We start from the raw sequence: 20,018 nt of genomic DNA, 5'->3' as shown, positions 1-20,018 counted from the left end.
TTAATATCATATATTATATGCTATTATAGCAATATATATATTACTATATATGACATAGCATATAATAAAATATGCTATAATAGCATATAATAAAATATGCTATAATAGCATAAAATAAAATATGCTATAATAGCATATAATAAAATATGCTATAATAGCATATATAACAAAATATTAATATACAGTATTATAGTAATATATAACTATATTACTATATATGCTATTAATATATAGTAATATAATATATAGTATATATATATAGTACTGTAATAGCACAAAAGAGGAAGAATGAAATAGAACTATGTAGGAGAAACACTTTCATATTCACTGAAAATTTAAGCTAATAAAATTATAAAACCTATTCTGATAAATTCAAATGTATCTGGTAAGCCCTAGAGTATTCATTAAGTATGTATGTGTTTGAATATACACATGTATAGTGAATATAAACTTCCCTTCAGAGCAGGATTATACATATACACACATACACACATACACTCACACACACACACACACACACACACGGTGAATATCATCAAAGGAATTAAAATGTTACACTAGAAAATGCTCACTTCTTCCAAAAGAAAGCAGTGAACAAGGAAAAGAGGAACAAAAATAGTAAAATATTTAGAAAGCAAAAATACAATGCAGCTACAATCCAACTGTATCAATAATAACATTAAATGTTAATTGATTAATTCAATCAAAAGGCAGAGACTATCAAACTGGATGAAAAATCCAACTATATGTGGCCAACAGAAAACATACTTTAGATTCAAAGACCCAAATTCAATGAAAGTAGAAGAATTGGAAAAGATATATAATGGAAATAGGAACTTTCAGAAAGCAGCAGTGGCTATTACTAATATCAGAAGTACCCTATTTACTTATTTATTTATTTTATTATACTTTAAGTTCTAGGGTACATGTGCACAATGTGCAGGTTTGTTACATATGTATACATGTGCCATGTTGGTTTACTGCACCCATTAACTCATCATTTACATTAGGTATATCTCCTAATGCTATCCTCCCCCCTCCCCCCACCCCAAGACAGGCCCCGGTGTGTGATGTTCCCCACCCTGTGTCCAAGTGTTCTCATTATTCAATTCCCACCTATGAGTGAGAATATGAGAAATACCCTATTTAAAACACATCTCCTACTTCCCCATTCCTCTTTTCTGTTGTTTCTCTCTAGCATTCATCACCACATGACTTACTATATATTTTAATTCTGTATTGGCATCTCTTCTACTATAATATAAGCTCCTTGAAGACAGGTTTTATTGTTGTTATTATGTTCACTGCTACTCACCTATACATACTGCATCTAGAATAGGTTCTGGCACACAGTGGGGACTCAATAAACATGTTTAATGAATGAGCACTGTGGGCCCTGATATAGGTGCTAGAGATAGAACAGTGAATAAAACAGTTTTTACCTTCATGGAACTTACTTTCTAGTGGATATTTTAAAATAAGAAGCATATTTAAATTGAGCTACATAGTAAGCATACATAAATAATGAAAATGATTGCAATTAGTATTTCTTTTTTCAGGGCCAAACCAAATTTAAACCATTTACTTATTTTAATGTGGCTAGATTTCTAATAGTTTCATTATTATCATACTTTTCCATTCTCTTCAGAAAAGTAGAAACTGCCCATGCTTTAGGTTTATAAAGTATCTAAAAGGTTTTTAAAATTATTTTTCAGATGATCTGATTTTGTCAAGAATATTTACAGATAATTCTTAAAACAATAAGCATAATGTAATGGAAATATTTCACCTATTTCTAATTTATTGCAACTTTATACACTTAGGTGGGGAATCATCTGATATTAAAATATATCCTAAATCCTTGCAACAGACCTCAAGTTTATATTTGATTTATTTCCCTGGAGGGAGAGAAGTATCAAATAGAAGTAAATTTAAATTAAAATATCTTAGTGAGCAATACAAATATAGGCATTTTGGAAATGGGATTTCCATTATGTTAAGATAAATCTAAAATGAAAGCAGATTTGGGAGATTAGAGTATTTTTTTTTTTTTTAGTTTTTTAAAAAGGAGGAACATTTTATTCACACACTCGTGTCTCATTTCTCCTCTTGTGACAACTGGGAAAATATTTCTATGTCTCCTCTTTTCCATCTTAAAGAATTCTGGCAATGACAAGTTTGTTTAAAAATATTGTCAAAAGTTACAAAGATAAACAGGTTATTTTATCAAAAAGGTCTTCAATCTTCCATTTTACAGGAGAAAATATATGTATTAATGTGTGATATTGTAGGCTAGTCATGACAAATGGCAAAGTTGTAGACAAAGGAAAGTACCCACTTATTCTTAGTTAATTTTTCCCGATCAACTTTAGAAAATCTTAATATAAGAAAAGAAAAAGGTTGAAAGATCCAAAATGTCTTTAAAAATCTGTTTTGAGGAAATTCAAACCGGGTGAGATCATTCACATAAAGGGTTATAGTAGTAAGATTTGGATGCTTAATTTAAGATTTATGATCAATGTGGTTTTTTAGAAATTCAGAACTATAGTACATATATACCCAAATAAAAAGGGTCATAAATACTATGCTATAAATGCTATTTGCTCAAAAATAGACTTCCCGATGATTTTGGGGCAGTAAATCTCACACAAAACTCAAGTAAGAAACCCAGGAGGCCTCATTTTGCTTTCCATTATATATTGATTTAGAAATGATACTTCTTTTTCTATAGCTTTAACACATTTAAATGTGTAAATTCTATGTAATTTTCTTCATTACCAAAATATTAGAATACATTTTAAAAAATTTAAGAAAGAAAGCCTTTCAAGGTAGATAATGACATTTTTAAAACCTCCAAATTTTTGTTTTTGAGAAAAGAATTCACTTTGAAAACATGCACGGATTAATCAGACAAATAAAACTCACCTGTCTTTGCATCTTTCCAGTCATCTGAAAGAATAGTCTTGGTCTGGATAGTGTATTTAGAAATAGGACTATGATTGTCTGAACCACGGCTCCAAGTAAGTGCCACAGAAGTGGCTCTAATGTCTTCTATTCTCAGACCACCTGGAGGGCCTGGAGGGCCTGAAATGAAAATGTGGGTAATGAATCAGTGAATTCCATCTAGTGAGTCAAACACACATTAGAATATAAAAATGTCTTCTAACCATTAATCTAAAGAACATTTGTCCAATATAATCAGTGTGTCTGCATTTCTTTTAAATATAGATTATAAGAAGTGATATCATTTGTAGTTTTCACTGAATGATTTCATGTATCTCTTTTTAAGGAAGGGGATAAATGCTATCATTTAAAAATGACATTGTTATGCAGATATAGTAATCTCTGACTCATTATATGCAATTGGCACCAAGGGGACCTAACAGATTGTAGCATAGCATGATTTAATGAATTCTTGCTGAATGCATGAATCAGATGGTAGCACAATTCAGTTTAGATATGGGAACATTTGGTCTATTGTCATTCTGCCTCCCCAGAACTGAACACATCCTCTTTGTTCTTTGTGGCTTTTTTTTTTTTTTTTGAGTTAGGGTCTCACTCTGTCACCCAGGCTGGAGTGCAGTGGGGATGATCATGGCTCACTGCAGCCTCTCCCTGCCTCCCCAGCTCAAGAGATCCTCCCAGCTCAGCCGCCCAAGTAGCTGGGACTACAAGCACTCCACAACACCCAACTAATTTTTGTGTGCATGTGTGTACTCTTTTGCAGAGACTGGGTTTCACCGTGTTGTCCAGGCTGGTCTCCAAGTTCTGGGCTCAAGTGATCCTCATGCCTAGGCATTCCAAAGTGTTGGGACTACAGGTGTGAACCACCGCACTGGCCCACATACTTTCTTATAACTCTAAATGTTATAGGTAATTCATTTTACTTGAAGTGGAAATTTCTGGGAATAATTTCATGTATCATTTTGCATAATACATTTCATGTTAGTTATAGTCATAAGAATAAGTAATATTAAAAATGTTTCTACTTATATAATATATAGAAAATAATTGTCAATTCAGAGATATACCAGGAATGCTCTTAAAACCTCAAATTATATTGAAGAGTCTTAGAAGAATTGTTCTGGCAGAACAAAAAACAATGTTAAAAATAGGTTTTCATAGATGCTTCATAACTCAGTACCAATATGATTCCTTTTTCCTTTCAACAGTGCACTGTGCTGGGAAATAGAAATTAAAAGATAAGTGAGACACAACTTTTTGGGCTTTGAAGAGCTTTTTGTCTTCAAATAAGACAAATAAAAATAAGAGAAAAATGTCCTTTAAGTGGTGAAGTGGCATCTATCACTTCAAAAGCTAAAGAAGTCTCTCAGTTAATAGACAGCTCCTAGTATAGACATTTCAGAATGTTTATAACTAAACATACATATCACTTGTTCTATTTGCACCAGAAAGGAGTCCACCCCCAATTGATTTAGGCATATTTAATATAATAATTAATAATTTTTATTAAGTAGCACCATCATTTTTCATAATTAATGTAATACTAAAGAGGACATTTGTCTTTATCTTTCAGCTGAAATATATACCTTTATATTTATATATCAGTTGGGTTGCTTAGCTTAGATGGCCTTTTTCTTTATAAGAACATTGGTATTTGCAGAGGTATGGCCAACACCCCAAACCTTCACCCATTTCCTTAAAGTGGTCCCAAGAAAGAAAGTGTGTGCAGATCAACAAAAACACATCACCACCAATGTTAAAATAACACAAGACACATACCCTATCCATGACAGTAAATTTTATTATTTGGAAATATATCACATATAAGAAAAGCAAGCGAACTTTTATAAATTTGTAACCTATAATAGTATACTTAGACTTCTTAATGTTAAATAATTGAAAATAGACACATAACAGAACACATTTGATATTCAGAGAGAACATATTGCATTTTTCATATGTAAGAAAACACATTGAAATACAGTGTACATTCTTGATCAGAACCAAGAAGTTCATTACTTCACATAATGCAGCATCCTAAGTCAATTACTAAGTAGAATATTTCAGAGTGTTAAAATAAAAAATTAGAGGTGAATAATAAAAGAATTTCTCAAATGAAGAAAAAGCCCTGTAATGCATGCATTCAGTTACTTTTTCTGAGCATAGGGGTATGGCATTCAGAAAACGTTAAAGGGAATTTAAGACAAAATTATCATAGGTTAGTCATTAACCATTAAAATGTAAATCATTTCCCTGCTGTTATTCTCTGATGTTCTTGAGGTGTCAAATGAGTAATATTTCATAAAGGTCAGAATAAAGCTGCATATTATTAGTGTATTTGTTGAGACATTATATGCATAATAATTCAGTCATCCACTCATTTAAGGGTAATATTGTTGAGCAAAACACTATAATTATACTTGTCCATTGTTTTCTCGGATACATGTCTGGCTTATGGTAGGTTCTTCATAAATATTTGGTGTATAGATAAATAAATTTATTATAATTAATGTTCAGGCAGTTCTGTAAACATAATTGTCATCCACAATACAGTCTTCATTTTTCCAATTGTCTTGAAATACTATATCATCATGAAGAGGTGGAATCGAGAAGACAAATGGAAAGGGTTGTGTTGGTATCTTCAAAACCCTGGTGTGGGAATTTTACTCGGTAATGGTTCCACTGATATGAAGTAGATTTTTCCATCTAGTAATTGCCTACAAATATCTCCCCAAAAATGCCTGAGAAAAATAATACTATTAAAATCATAATTGTATTAAAAAACAGGGATTTTAGAATTAAGATAGACTCAGCTTTCAGTTCTGTGCCCTGATTTATCTTGGGCAAGTTTCTTAAAATCGTTAAGTTCCTGTTTACTCATCTGTAAAACAAGAGTAATAAAAACCGAACATATAGGATTGTTTTTAGGCCAGGTGTGGTAACTCACGTCTATAATCCCAGCACTTTGGAGGCCAAGGCAGGTGGATTACCTGAGGTCAGGAGTTCAAGAACAGCCTGGCCAACATAGTGAAACCGGATCTCTACGAAAAATACAAAAATCAGCTGGCATGGCAGTACACACCTAATAATCCCAGCTATTCAGGAGGCTGAGACAGGAGAATTGCTTGAACCTGGGAGGCAGAGGTTGCAGCGAGCCAAGATTGCGCCACTGCACTCCAGCCTGGGTGACAGAGTGAGACTCCTTTTCAAAACAAAACAAAACAAAACAAAACAAAACAAAACAAAACAAAACAAAACAAAACAGATGATTGTTAGGACTGAAATAATGTCCTTAAAGAATGTAGTTCTCAGCCTGGTACATAGAAAGCCATCAGGAAACCTTATCTATTAACAATATTATTATTGTCATTACTTCTTTAAAAGATTTCTGAGCATCTTAGCTACCTGGCAGGAGTTATTAATTAGTACTTTGTCAGTCATTCCAGGGATCTGTTTACAGAGTATTCATTTACCACTTATTACTTAAAAGAAAGCAGGGACAGTAAACCAAAAATAAAATTCTAAGCCCCCCAGCCATCTGAAAGGAACCCTTTTCTTGGCAAGGGCAGTCCAAAAGTAACCTGAAAAACTAGTTCAGGAAGTGATGGGAAGGGGCAGCCAGACATGCCTCATTACACCCTCCTCCCTTTGGGAATTATTGATAGAACAGACTTCTTAAGTCTAATAAGAAGCATTTACAATCTATTTTCTGAAGCTTGCTACCTGAAGGCTTCATCTGCGGGAGAAAACCTTGATTTCCGCCACCCACAAGTCTGTATGGTAATACAGACATTCTTTTCTATTGGTAATAACTCTTTCAACCAATTGCCAATCAGAAAATCCTTAAATCTACCTCTGATCTGGAAGCCCCCCATTTTGAGTTGTCCCACCTTCCCAGATGGAACCAATGTACATCTTACATGTGTTGATTGATATCTCATGTCCCCCTAAAATACATAAAACCAAGCTGTATCCCAGCAACCTCGGGAACAGGTCGTCAGGACCTCCTGAGGCTGTGTCACAGGTGCATTCATAACCTTGGCAAAATAAACTTTCTTGAGACTTGTCTCAGATACTCTTTGGTTTATAGGACAACATAGAAAGTAAAATGTTTTCCAGTAATTTTGATGTAGGTGAGGAAAATTTGGGAATGTGAAGATACTCTGTGTATTAAGGAATCAGTTTGTGGCAAAAAATAGAGCACGGAGACAAACGTGGACGGTCGGACTTCAACCCAGGGCCAGCCCTGCAGTGTCTCTCAGCAGGAAGGTTTTCAAGCAGTGTAGGCTGATGTTACTTGCTTATTTTTTTTGTTTAGAATGGACAGAAAAGTGTTGAGGTAGAAAATAAAATGACAAAACTACTTTGTTCTCAGCACAAAGGAAGGCATTTAAGAACTGACCACTCTTCTGATTCTTTTGTCAATGAAAAAAACCCAACCATACATAATTCTAACCCTGAGTTCTTTCTTTCTTTTTTTTTTTTCTTTTTTTAGTTTCCATTACCATGCGCTCTCAATAAATCCTTCAGGAAACCAGGGAAAATGTAAGCAAATGGCCTGATGCATGCAGCTTATTTCACTATTACTTTACTGATATCTCCTTCCAGTTTCTTAGGCTGTTCTCAGCCAGATAGCTAAGGATTCTGAGAACTGTTTACCCCAAAGTTAACATAAAAGAGAGAAATTGGTCAGTTGAAAAAGACTGTTGGAATCTGACCTGATTTTAAATGCCTAGATACATTAGATGACAAATTTGTCTTCTGTTTTTCTTTTTTCTTTCTTTGGCTGTAATTATTAAAGATCTGAAGTTAGGGGAAAAAGAACTGAAATATATTTCTGACTAGACCTGGCAAAGTCTTTTTATCCATTTTTCTCACTAACATTAATATTGGGGAGTTAGAAAGAGGTGAAAGAGGAGAAAAAGAACAATATGGAGGAGGGAATAAAAAGTTATTTAAAGCATGCTTTTTGTTTTATGCTTTTATAAATACAGTTTTATCTTCACTCCTCTCTTGTCACCACCTCCCCCTACCCATGCTCTCGAGTTTTTGAAATACATTTTATTACGCTCATATATCATATCCCTACTATTTATGCTATTTCTGTTTCCTGATTCTTTCAAATGCTCACAGGATGTCATCAAGAGTGGATACCACTAATTGTGCTCAGCCTATCCAGCTGATTGAATTCCTCTTTCATTGCAGTTGGCAGGACAAACTTCAGTGTTGATTTTTTTGATTCTTATTTTCCCATTCAAAATCATAGTGTTCAAATTGCTACCCTTCTTTGGGCTACCTTTCTGTACTTCAGATGGTGGCTGCCTCTATGGACTATTCTTTCTTTCCTATTTGCATGACCCCCTCTCTTACTATTCTTGTTTTGCACCCATTATATTCTTTCACTCTCACTTTAAAAATTCCTCTTAGAGAATGCTGACTGAGAATGTTCCATAAAATTTCACCTATGGGGCATACAAAAATAATGATCTATCAAAGTCCTTGTTAGTGTTATGTTTCTTACCTTGGGGGTTCTTCAAAGTTGACTAAAAACAAGTTTACGAACAGCTACTGAGACCTGTTTCTGTCACTTTTTAACCTAGTAAAGGACTGGGGAAACGGCCTGAATGATCTCCTGTCATTCTGTCATTCATGGTTCAATGCAGAGTCTCATTTGCCACACCCCTACTCTCTTTCTCTAAATTTATGTTTTCAACATTTTTACAATTAAATCATGCACTACAGACAAATAATAGAAACATTTCAATATTTAAGGTAGATCACATACATTTAAGAGTCCACTAAAACATATATATATATATATATATATATATATATATATATATATATATAATCCATTTTACAAAAGGACACCGAAGTCTATAAGGGCTGTTGTCAGAGATACATAGCTAATCAGTGACAGAGTACAGAGATGGGATCAAAGACAGGGTTTTCTGGTATAACACGCTCAAAATGAGAAAACATCTATTTTCAAATTTAGATTATACAGCTTAAATGTGCCTGTCTGCAAAAGACTTCCAAGTAATTACCTGGATGACAACAAGTCTACACTATTGTTCTCTTTGGACTTGAACTGCTAACAATATAAAATTTACATGGTATAAAATTATTAGTCATTCAAAAAGGGGAAATTTATACTGTACATTTTAATAAAAATTATGCTTTTTTCTGAGTACTTATATTGAAGTCACTGCCAAATCTTTTATAATTCTTACCAATAACCCTATGATGTAAGTGCTATTATTTTTCCTATTTTACAGGTGAGGAAACAGACAGGAATAGGTTAAATAAAATGGCCACGTTCACCCAGCAAGTAAATGTCAAAGTTAGAATCTGAGCCTAATCAATTTGTCATGAGACCAAATTTTCAACAACTATCCTAAAAACAATATTTTTAAAACAGCATTGTCAGTATCACATTCAAAAATGTTATTAGGTTTCCGTTGCTGACTTTTCTTTTTGGGAAGAATATGAATTACTTGTATACAAGTGAATATTTTGGAAAATATGACAAAAACTGTAACATACTGATCATAGCTTTTTTTTATTTTTTATTTTTATTTTTTATTTTTATGGAGATGAGGTTTCACCACGTTGCCTGGGCTGGCCTTGAGCTCCTGGGCTTATGTGATCCCATCTCAGTCTCCCAAAGTGCTGGTGTGTACCATCATGCCTGGCCAATCATGCCTTTTTAAATCTTTGTTTCAGTGTTAACTCAGATAAGTAAAGATAAACACATCATCCATTTATAAATTCATATTCAATACATTCCCACTCTTTATTGATTGCTATAAATATATTTGGTAATCTTTCCTGGATTTTACTAATGTTTTTAGAAAAACATACCTATGTATGAACAAAATATAGATTTGATTTTTACTCAGTTTTCATTCATATGTAAACTAATTTTTAAAAATGAGGAGAAATATAGTTAATCAGTTCTGTCATTTCTGCTTTAAAAATGTAGTAACATTCAATGAAGAGGAATTTAGACATTTGAGGAAAGATAGTGAGAAAACAATATATAAATTTTCCAAATGACCATTCACACATAGTAAGCTGACCATATTTTCTTAATCAATAATCAAGATTCATTTTTTTGATAAATCAAATTGGATAGAAGACTAGAAATTAAGATCCTCGTGTCTCAATTTATAAACAGGATGTAAAGTAGCTGTGACTACACCCCACGTATCATTTGAGTTGGTGCCACTACTTAGATAGTAGCCCTAACCTGCTCTCTCCCTCTTAAACACTGGCTTTCTAAACAACTATAGTTGGAAATAAACCCCCCAAAACTACTGACCCTTTGGGGAATTCATATAGCACATACATTTAATATAAATATTCATGCTGCAGAACTGGTGTAAGTAGGAAAAACACTGGTGACATTCTTTTTTCCACTGGTAATTCCCTAGTAAGTAATTAAAAGCAAAGCACCACGTAAAAATATTCTGTAGTTAACTGTTTATTTTTACCAAAACAACAAATTTCAGTGAAAACTTTGAAATGTTAAGGAAACAAAAAACTTTTCAGAACAATTTATCCTCCCTTTTTAAATCAAGTAAACATAAAATTGAAATTGCTGAGTGACAGTCATATTAGGGCAGGAGACATCTTCTTCGCCAAGGAATGTCAAAGTCTCATTATTTATTGCAGGCTTGTTCTTGCCTTGAAAATTATCTAAGACAATGGCTCCAATATCCTATTTTAAAATATAAATCAATGTTTTCTGATCATGTTGATGTTTGAAGTTGTACTAAGATGAAGCTGAATCTTATTAAATATCTCTACCATTTAATAGGAATATGGTAATTTTCTTAACCTCTGATATTGATAAAGGTAAATTTAGATCCCAGTTAGAAATAAGAACAAGACTAAAGGAAGATAAATGAACCTGTATAATTCTTCTACTTGATATTGATATAGTTTAAGGTTGTCCTTCCCTTTCTGGTACAAGTCACATCTGTCCTATGATTTCCTTTAGAATTTTTATTATTTCTTTAAAAAACAAAATACTTAATGCTAAATGATGAGTTAATGGGTGCAGCACACCAGCATGGCACATGTATACATATGTAACTAACCTGCACATTGTGCACATGTACCCTAAAACTTGAAGTGTAATAATAAAATAAAATAAAAAATATTCCTATCTGGTCTTGGTTGTATAATTTCAGTATGGACTACATGGAAAGATGCCCTTAATACGATTCATACATGTCTCCATGGTGCTGTTTACAGACACATGAAAATTCTCAAATTGATTTTAAACATCTTACAAAAATGGCAATTAATCTGGATCTCTAGTCTAAGTTCTAAGATAGCTCCTTTTGGAACAGTAATTGAGACTAGAAAATATAAAAGAAGGAAATAAGTAACATCTTGAGCCAGAGACATTTATTTCTTTATGATGACTAATAAATTATTTTTAAAGTTAAACTATATATATACACACACATATAATAATTTAAGAGTTATATTCATTTCCCTCAAAGCTTTCTTCAGAGTTCTTCTGACCACAGAGAGAATTGCTAGATGAAGTAAAAGAGAAACTCATACCTAAACACAAACCTGTCTAAGAAAATCAAAATTATTTATTGTGAAGGAATAAGAATTTTAAGCACATCTCTTTGACCAAAGGGGGAAAGTGAAGGTATTTTCAAACAATAACATTTAAGCAGTCCCAGAAAGAATTATATACTCCTCAATTTTAATCATCCACTTCTACTCAAGTCCTCCCAGTAAAAATCACAACCTTCCACCCAAACGATCTACAAAAGCTGATGGCAGGAGTCAATAAAATTAAATATGAATGCATGCTGTTAATGGCTTAGTCATCTTTACTAAAATCTTGCTACTCAGATGAGGGTTTCCCCCACATGCTATCCATTTTCACTTTCCAATTCCAGGAATTGTTCCAAAAACCCTACAGAGCCATGGTAGGACTTCAGTTGTTTACTAATGCTTTTCATTCTTTCATGCCAAAGAATATGTATGGTACTAGGATTAAGAAAAAAAGACTGCCGGAGTAATGCCCCTTTTAGCTTATGTCCTAATTATGATGTCTCATTAGAGAGTTTGACAACATTGTTCATTACCTGCTTGAATAAATCAAACAGTACATTCAATGGCAATACTCCTGTATTATACAATTCATCAGTTCTTCATACGTTTTTCAGATAATGAGCTAATTTCTGGGCTATATAATTTCAAAGAAAAACAGGACATGAAAACACAAAACTTTCACTTGGCCATTATATAATGTACTGAGTTAGTTCACTAGGCATTTTTAAGGTATTAGTGAAGCATTATAGTTATATTTTAAAAAATATTTATGCCCAAAGTATGTTTACATGTTTCAAAAGGGGAAACATACTCTAAGAACTAGGTTGGGGGTGGGGAGAACTGCAGAAGCTACAAGATTGAGTTAGTCAAATCTAGTATAATATGTTAAAAAAAAAAAAGTCTTTCACAGAAATGGTGAGTGTCAACGATCACCAGGTTGGAGGCAGGCTTGCACAGACGGGGAGAAAGGAATCCACCATGTTTTTCTCTCCACCTTTTCTGTTTTTACCTGCAAGAGGAAAGATCAAGGCTGAAGGGAGAGTGTGGATGCCCAATTAGGGGCAGGAAGCCATGCACTTGGGGGATTTGCCCTATTTCCTTGATGGGTAAGGTGAAAGAATAAACACAGAAAGGTATCTTCCCCTACACACTGAGGACGGGGGGCCAAAGGGAGAAGACCGATGCCACAAGCTGTGGCCCAATTAAAACCTTTCCCTCATACACAGTGACTGACTTTCTAAGGAGCAAGCGTTGTAACTGAAGTCTCTCCTCAAAAAACAAATAAATGAAACAAATCTCGTGGATCCTTTGTAAATTTCATTCCACAGAGTGCAAGTCTATCTACTGAAACATATGGTTATGCCTTGAAGACTTCTAAGAATAAAAGTAATAAGGATAGATTGAAGCAATGGTTTGAAAAAGTTAATCAACGGTTAAGGCTGTTTTGTGAGAACTGTGTCTTGAGTTATATTTTATTTATTTCTTATGTCGATATATACATTCATAGTAAAGGGAAGGAAGTAAAGGACAATGTTTATAAAAAGTTGCCATGAACAATGTATGGACTGTAACTACTCATATTCTCTTTCATAAATATGGAACTTGAGGCTTACAGTGATTAATAGACTAGCCTAAGACCATAGGTTAGGTAGGCAAAGTGGATATCTAATCGATTTACCTAATACCAAAGGCCACAGCTTTTAGATCACACCATGCAAATCATTTAACAGCAGTATGTGTATATTAATACAGAAATATTGTTATAGAAAACCATGTAATCATTTAACAACAGTATGTGTATATTAATACAGCAATATTGTTATAGAAAACCATGTAATTAACAGAGTGATCACCTACCTCATTCCCCTACGCATAACTAAGGATAGTTATTATTAGAATTATACCATTTTATAGCCACTACTGCCCCCTGGAGATAGCTATTTAAATAGAAGAAACGGAAACTAGGAAAACTTGCCTATGCTGACTGCTTGTTGTAAATTCAGTCCTTACGGTAAATAGTAAAAAAAAGGTCGTAAGACATTTGACATTTTAAGCATATAAAATTTTAAATCCTTTTGATGAGAACTGAAAATCCTAATTTTAGATATATTCTTTTTTTTTTCTTTTGAACGCAGTTTGGGTAGTTTTTGGTATTTTACCAGAGTTTGCTTATCTGTGATTTGAGATTTTAAGTCTGAAAAGGGGGTGCTGTGAACAGTCACCAAGGGAGCCTTCCTAAACTCCTCCAGAGAGGGGTGCCATTTCCTTGAATTAGTCACTGTATCTACCAGACAATGTAGAAAGATATCAAATAGTGGTCCTCCAAGTTGCTTAGACCCTACACATCAGCGGGATCTGACATATTTCTATCAGTAACAGTTCCTTTCTTCTCGAGAAATTCTCAGGAATGTGTGAAGGAGGGGCGGGGTCAAGCTCTCATTATTGAGAGTCGCTAAGAGTGCAGGAAGCAGATGCTCAGAAGTGGGTTCTTCAGAGTGACGGACGTTAGACCATTCTGGGAATAATTACACAAGGGATCTCTACACTCTGGTGTGTCACAAGTAATTTGCTACTAATAAGATTGAGAATTCAGAAGTTTCTGCATTTTTTTCCCAAAGGATAAAGTGGATTCAAAGTTATCCTGGTAGCATGCTAACTCTCACTCACTTGCATCCCAATGCACTTTTAGGTGAAGGTGTTGGCTCTTCAGGGGTGCCCTGGAAAATGCACATGAACCTCAGCCACTCCCTTATGTCTTCCCATGTCCACACAATGATCATCACTGTTAGCTGGCATTAAGCAAATAACAATTAAAATAGTGTTGTGCTTTTTAGGGGAAAAAGGTTTTTTTGGATTTATGCCAAAATCTGCAATCAGTTATGAGAGTATAGTGTACAGTTAAACATGATGATGGAAAAGCACTCTGGCAGAGAAAAGATTTAGAACTGTGCCTTGCTGCTCTGATCTAATGGGGTATCCTAGCTAAGCGTCAGTTGCAGAATACTTAAACATTTCTTTCTCTCTCTGTGTATGTTTCATTTAATCCCAGTAGTGACAATTAGAGTTGGAGAAGCTATTGTAGGAATTCAAAAGCACTAAAATCTCTCTGTAGCTTCATAAACCGATGATGAGTTTAGAGGGTAAAAGCTTTTTCTGAGTTTCCTTCATTCTAATATGCCCAAACTTTTGTGACCAAATTAAATTTCCAGAAACTGGGTGGAAAGCAAGCCCACAAAAGGCTCCCTCAAGAAAGCACTGCATAGTCACGAGACTGGAAATGGCAGACTGCACAAAAATCATAGGTAATAAAACTGCTCGAAAGGGATTTTACGTCGTTAAGTTTTTTCTTGGTTATATTTTCAGCAATGAGGCTAAGGTGTTTTTGTCTTATTTAGTAAAATGAGCTGAAAAGGGAAACTATTAATGAAATTCTAATTTTAAACGAGCTAAAATGTTACTCTACTCTCTAACTTAACTTGGAATTATCAATAACTCAGAGTGTTTTGAGGGAATTACCTAATTAATTTGACAAACCATGTACCAACAATGATAGAGATGCACAATACAAAATTATATGGTCTGACTTCTGTCTTTGGGAACATTAAACATCAAGAAGGGAAAAGCATATTCATGTAGTTGAATTTGGAACACTAGTATCTGGCCACATTCTGGCTTTATAACTGATAGTTGAAAATATATTTTTTTTCTTTTTTAAACTTCCTTTGCCTATGAAATGGGAATAACAGTCCTTGTACTACCACCTCACAGCAATTTTGTAGGATGACGTGGTAAAATTTATAGGAAAATCCTATAAGTGTAGACATTATAATCTAAGATATTTAAATATTCTGAATGAACTATTTTTAACTGTATGAATTATACATTATTTTAAAAAGCAGGAAAACACACATCAAAATTTCATTTACCTATTTTTAGGCCAAAGAGCACATTATAAAATCAAGCTTTCAAGCCATCTAGTACAATTCATTTATTGGTTTTGCTATTGTAATTATAACTGTGTAAAGTTGAGTAGCTGAAAAAAAAATAACTACTATAGTTTCCCTTGTAATAGGCCAGCCATAAATATAACATGAGCAAAAATAAAATAGCAAGATCAGTATCAGTGACACTCTATAGAATAAACATTTATTGCCAAGAAAGTAAAAGGCCAGCAGCTTAGCTTTTCCACACTGATTATTTTATCACATTGAATATATTTGAATTAAGTTTTAGTTATAGTGTGCTACAGCCATGAGCTGGGTGTTCTACCTGAAATTAGACTGTCTGCATTCAAACCTTGTTCTTCCACTTAGTAGCTTTGTGACCTTTAGTGATTAACTTAGCCTCATTAGATTCAATTTTCTCATGTGTAAAATGAATATAATACAGTAACGATACCTGTCCTTTAAAATTAAATCTGGTAAACAATGTCTTTAATAAATGTTATATATCATTTTATGATATAATCAATACATGTTATATGACATATAATATATATTTTATTATAACATGCTATGTAGTTACATTCTGTCATTATATATTAAATTATATAATTATATATCTTTATTTTCATTTTATATTCATCATTTTATATAAATACCTTTTCACAGCCTAAAGATTTGAGTTGGAAAAATGTAGTATTTTACCAACATACATCACAATTACTTTCAAAATATGAACTAATTGCCATTTATTCATATTCTTCGAGACTTGTAGGTATCTCTGATTATCTGTATTGCTCTTGAACTTTGACATTATTGGCATAATTGTAGCCTAATTTGGCATAATTATCTGGTAAATACGCATGGATGTATGAATCACTATGGAGCACTGAAATGCATGCAGTGTCTAAAAGCTCCCAAGGCCTGCTAAGTTCTGTAAAGCTTTCCTACTGTCTCCCTGGAATCAAACTGAGTGGTAGAAGGGTTATTTTTTGTTTGTTTGTTTGTTTTGTTTTGTTTTTTTGAGACAGTCTCACTCTGTCGCCCAGGCTAGAGTGCAGTGGCACGATCTCGGCTTACTGCAACCTCCACCTCCTGGGTTCAAGTGATTCTCCTGTCTCAGCCTCCCAAGCAGGGGGGACTACAGGCATGTGCCACCACACCCAATAATTTTTTTATTTTTAGTAGAGATGGGGTTTCACCATATTGGTCAGGTTGGTCTCGAACTCCTGACCTCCTGATCCACCCGCCTTGGCCTCCCAAAGTGCTGGGATTACAGCCATGAGCCACTGCACCAGGCTGATTATTATTATTATAATTATTATTATTTGAGATGAGATGGAGTCTCGCTCTACTGCCCAGGCTGGAGTACAGTGGCATGATCTTAGCTCACTGCAACCTCCGCCCCCTGGGTTCAAGCAATTCTCCTGCCTCTGCCTCCCCTGGCCGATTATTTTTTAAGGGAGCCATGGGTACACACTAAATGTGCAGCAAAAAAAGAAATTCCAGTTTGCCAAAAGCTGACCAGTTTGATTATAAGAGACCCGGGAGTAATTAATTGCAGAAAAGAAGAAATCCTCCACGGGAGCTTTTCTCACTGTACTCTAGTGTGGAGGGAAAGAAAAATCTAAATTTATATTAGCGCATAACATAGTATCTTCTTATCCTTATATTTTAAGTTTTGAATTTGTAAGATGAAGTGTTCATCTAGATAATTTTCAAGACCTATCTTAAAATTTAAAATAATGTGAATCATTCTGAGTGAATTACCTATTTTGTGGCCATATTTGAAAAAATTCTTGAGTGTACCTCAATTTACGCTGAACTTGCATTGAAAAATACAATTTCAAATTATTGATGTACTTTAAAATTCCAGAAGTAATTGGGAAAGCTGTCATTTTTACTAGAGTTTTTGTTTAAATAACCACTAAGTTCTGACTTTAAATTTTCTAAATTCTGCATTTGTTATAACCAAATATGCATTTCAGCTCAATATTTTAGCTTTTGTGTATTACAATTATGGAGAACCAGCCCAGTCGTATTTCTTTGATCTGAATTTGTTGATTCTCAGTGGGAAGGGGAAGGCTTAATTTCTAGGCAGGTTTTGCTATCAATGGATGCATTGCTGTGGTTAGTGCAGAGTGGGGTCAGGATGGCTCAGAATGGCGCCCAGTTGTCATTGTTCCAGCCAGTGTGGGCAGCAAGGACCATTTTCCTGTCTCAGTTCTGCAAGGCTGATGAGATGGAATCTCTAGTCTGTCTCTGTGGCAAGACTTCGTTGGCCAGAGCAAGTGGAAAGTGGAGGCAATTATCCAAATATCTGAGGTAAATGTGTGTTTTTCTGCCCCAAATACTTGAAAAACTACCTCAACCATTCTCTTTGATTTGACTGTGATGATTTGGACCCAGATCTTTCTGCCTTTATATGATCGTCTCTTTCCTGGATCTCTTCCAATGCGTGCGTGTGTGTGTGTGTGTGTGTGTGTGTGTGTGTGTGTGTGTGGTGTGATGAGGTGTGTATACTTACACGCCTGTTTAACTTGGTGTGTATATTATATAGAACTTTTATGTCTATTCTTCTCAACTACATAATACTTAAATTGCTTAATTTAAAAGTCCTTTTTAATTTATTTTGGCCTGCCATACCTTAATAATAATTTCAAACATAAAGCCATATTTGCTTATTTAAGAATATGTTGAATGTAAGGATTCTTGAACACAATGTGAACATTTATGCCAGATACCACAGAAGCTTAAAATCTGATTTAGCACCAAGAGTTACACAAACTTTTCACATGGCAACATGCGGTCCTGTGGCCCTCACTAATATCCAAGGTCCCTGAGCTAGTCATGCAAATAGAACCCTAAATAATCCAAGAATTAATGATTACATCTGTTTATAATGCATGTCTTTGGCTTTATTTTTCCTACAATGTTTTAAAAATTATATATTTTGTATTAGCATATGCCAGATAGTAGGAACAGAAAGAGAAAAGAGCAGAAACTGAAATCAATAACTTTTACTATTTAGTAAAAATTAGTAAAAGAATTTGTCCTACCAGCTCCAGAATAGACTTGATAATCTTTCTGGTATAGTGAGTTTTAGAAATTAACTATAGATTTTATTTATCCATACTTTCTGGAGAAAGTCTAGTACAATGAGAAGACTGGACTGGGGTCCCAAGATTATTGTTTGCCACCATGTAGATGGAAAATACAGGGGAGGAACTCTTTCTCTCAGAGTCCAAGTTGTTAAATGAAGGGGTAGGAACTTTCTAGATAACCCATAGGATTAGTTCTACATTTAAAATTGTATTTTCAAATTTGAACATAAATGCAGAGATTTCATATAGTTACTGTGAAAAAGTGGGAAGGAGAAAAGACGTAACTAACACATGATTTGCCAATAATAGGACCATTAGAACACTTTTATCTTAGAGAAAGAAAATGTTTATCTATTCCATATTTCTTACAAAAAAAGAATACTAATTTTCCTGGACCATCATCTCCAAGTAAATGCTTCAGAACTAATTTTGTCTGGACAGTGAAGAGTGGGATACTCTGGATATTAACTCTGCTAATGTAAACCAGCTGGGAGTAAAATACCCAAGAGCATTTTCCATAGAAAAGACCTTTAGGCAACTATTATAGTACTTTAAAATACTGCAATATTATTCCAGCTAAAACGTATACTGACAGCTTCCATCAGGCTTATTGGCTTATTTATTTGTTCGACCGTGTTACTTTAACTTATCCAAGAGTTTAAAAGTGGTTTAGTAATCAACTAAATAGCCTTCTTAAGAAAAAATCTGGTAACCACGTCATTAGGCTAAGCAATAAAAACCTTAACAGGGTATATCAATAAAGATGACCTCTAACTAATATCTCTCTCCATTCTGTAACTGTATTTTTTCCTTAGAAATAAAGTGGAAAGCTGCATGCACACACACACACACACACACACACACACACACACTCACTTACACGGTGTTTTCACCTAAATACAAGTCCACGTAAGGTTAAATAAATAAGCTTCTAATGTAATAATGTAAACAACACAAACTTCTTTTGAGGAGAAAATGATTTACAGAGTTTTCATATCATTTGCTTTAGTTTCAGCTACTCTTTTTCCAAAACATTTTAAAATTCTATACAGCATATGTTAGAGTTGAGAACCAGGCCAAAAGAAAAAGTTTAGATAGCAAAGTCGTTTTCTTTTTCTTTTGTTTGTTTTTAAACTCAGATTTGAGTGAACAAACGTCATTTAATGTAACACATAAGATGTAAACAAATATATAGTATATAAGATATAATCTTAATTGCATTTTCTATTTTGGCAATTTCAGTGGCAAACATGTTTTGTTCACCCAGGTGGCAGGAAAGTGTTCCTTAGCCAGAAGCATTGCCAAAATATTTATAATACATCAGAAATACCAGAGAAAGTGGTAATACATGTACAAGTTAAAGCCTAATTTCTTTTTCATTTGGGGCCTAATTTTATGGTCTATTTTTGAATGTTGTCCAAAG

The 20,018-nt window shown here is 33.9% G+C and overlaps 1 protein-coding gene across 11 annotated transcripts in view; it reads right to left on the bottom strand.

Moving 5' to 3' along the window:
* CNTN1 (contactin 1) overlaps positions 1-20,018 on the bottom strand; it is a 379,977-nt gene that overhangs the window by 88,423 nt on the left and 271,536 nt on the right. For 6 of the 11 annotated variants that reach the window (XM_011537926.4, NM_001843.4, XM_005268651.3 and 3 more), the window contains one exon: positions 2,926-3,084. In XM_011537926.4, coding sequence (XP_011536228.1) covers positions 2,926-3,084 — 159 coding nt within the window. Of the gene's footprint in view, positions 1-2,925; positions 3,085-11,275; positions 12,560-20,018 lie in introns of those variants that run through there. The other 5 variants (XM_024448843.2, NM_001256063.2, NM_001256064.2 and 2 more) reach the window with 1 other exon arrangement.

The sequence above is a fragment of the Homo sapiens genome, chromosome 12 (genome assembly GCF_000001405.40).
Source record: "Homo sapiens chromosome 12, GRCh38.p14 Primary Assembly".
In the NCBI taxonomy this organism is placed as follows: domain Eukaryota; kingdom Metazoa; phylum Chordata; class Mammalia; order Primates; family Hominidae; genus Homo; species Homo sapiens.
This window is presented reverse-complemented; position numbering and strand designations above follow the sequence as displayed.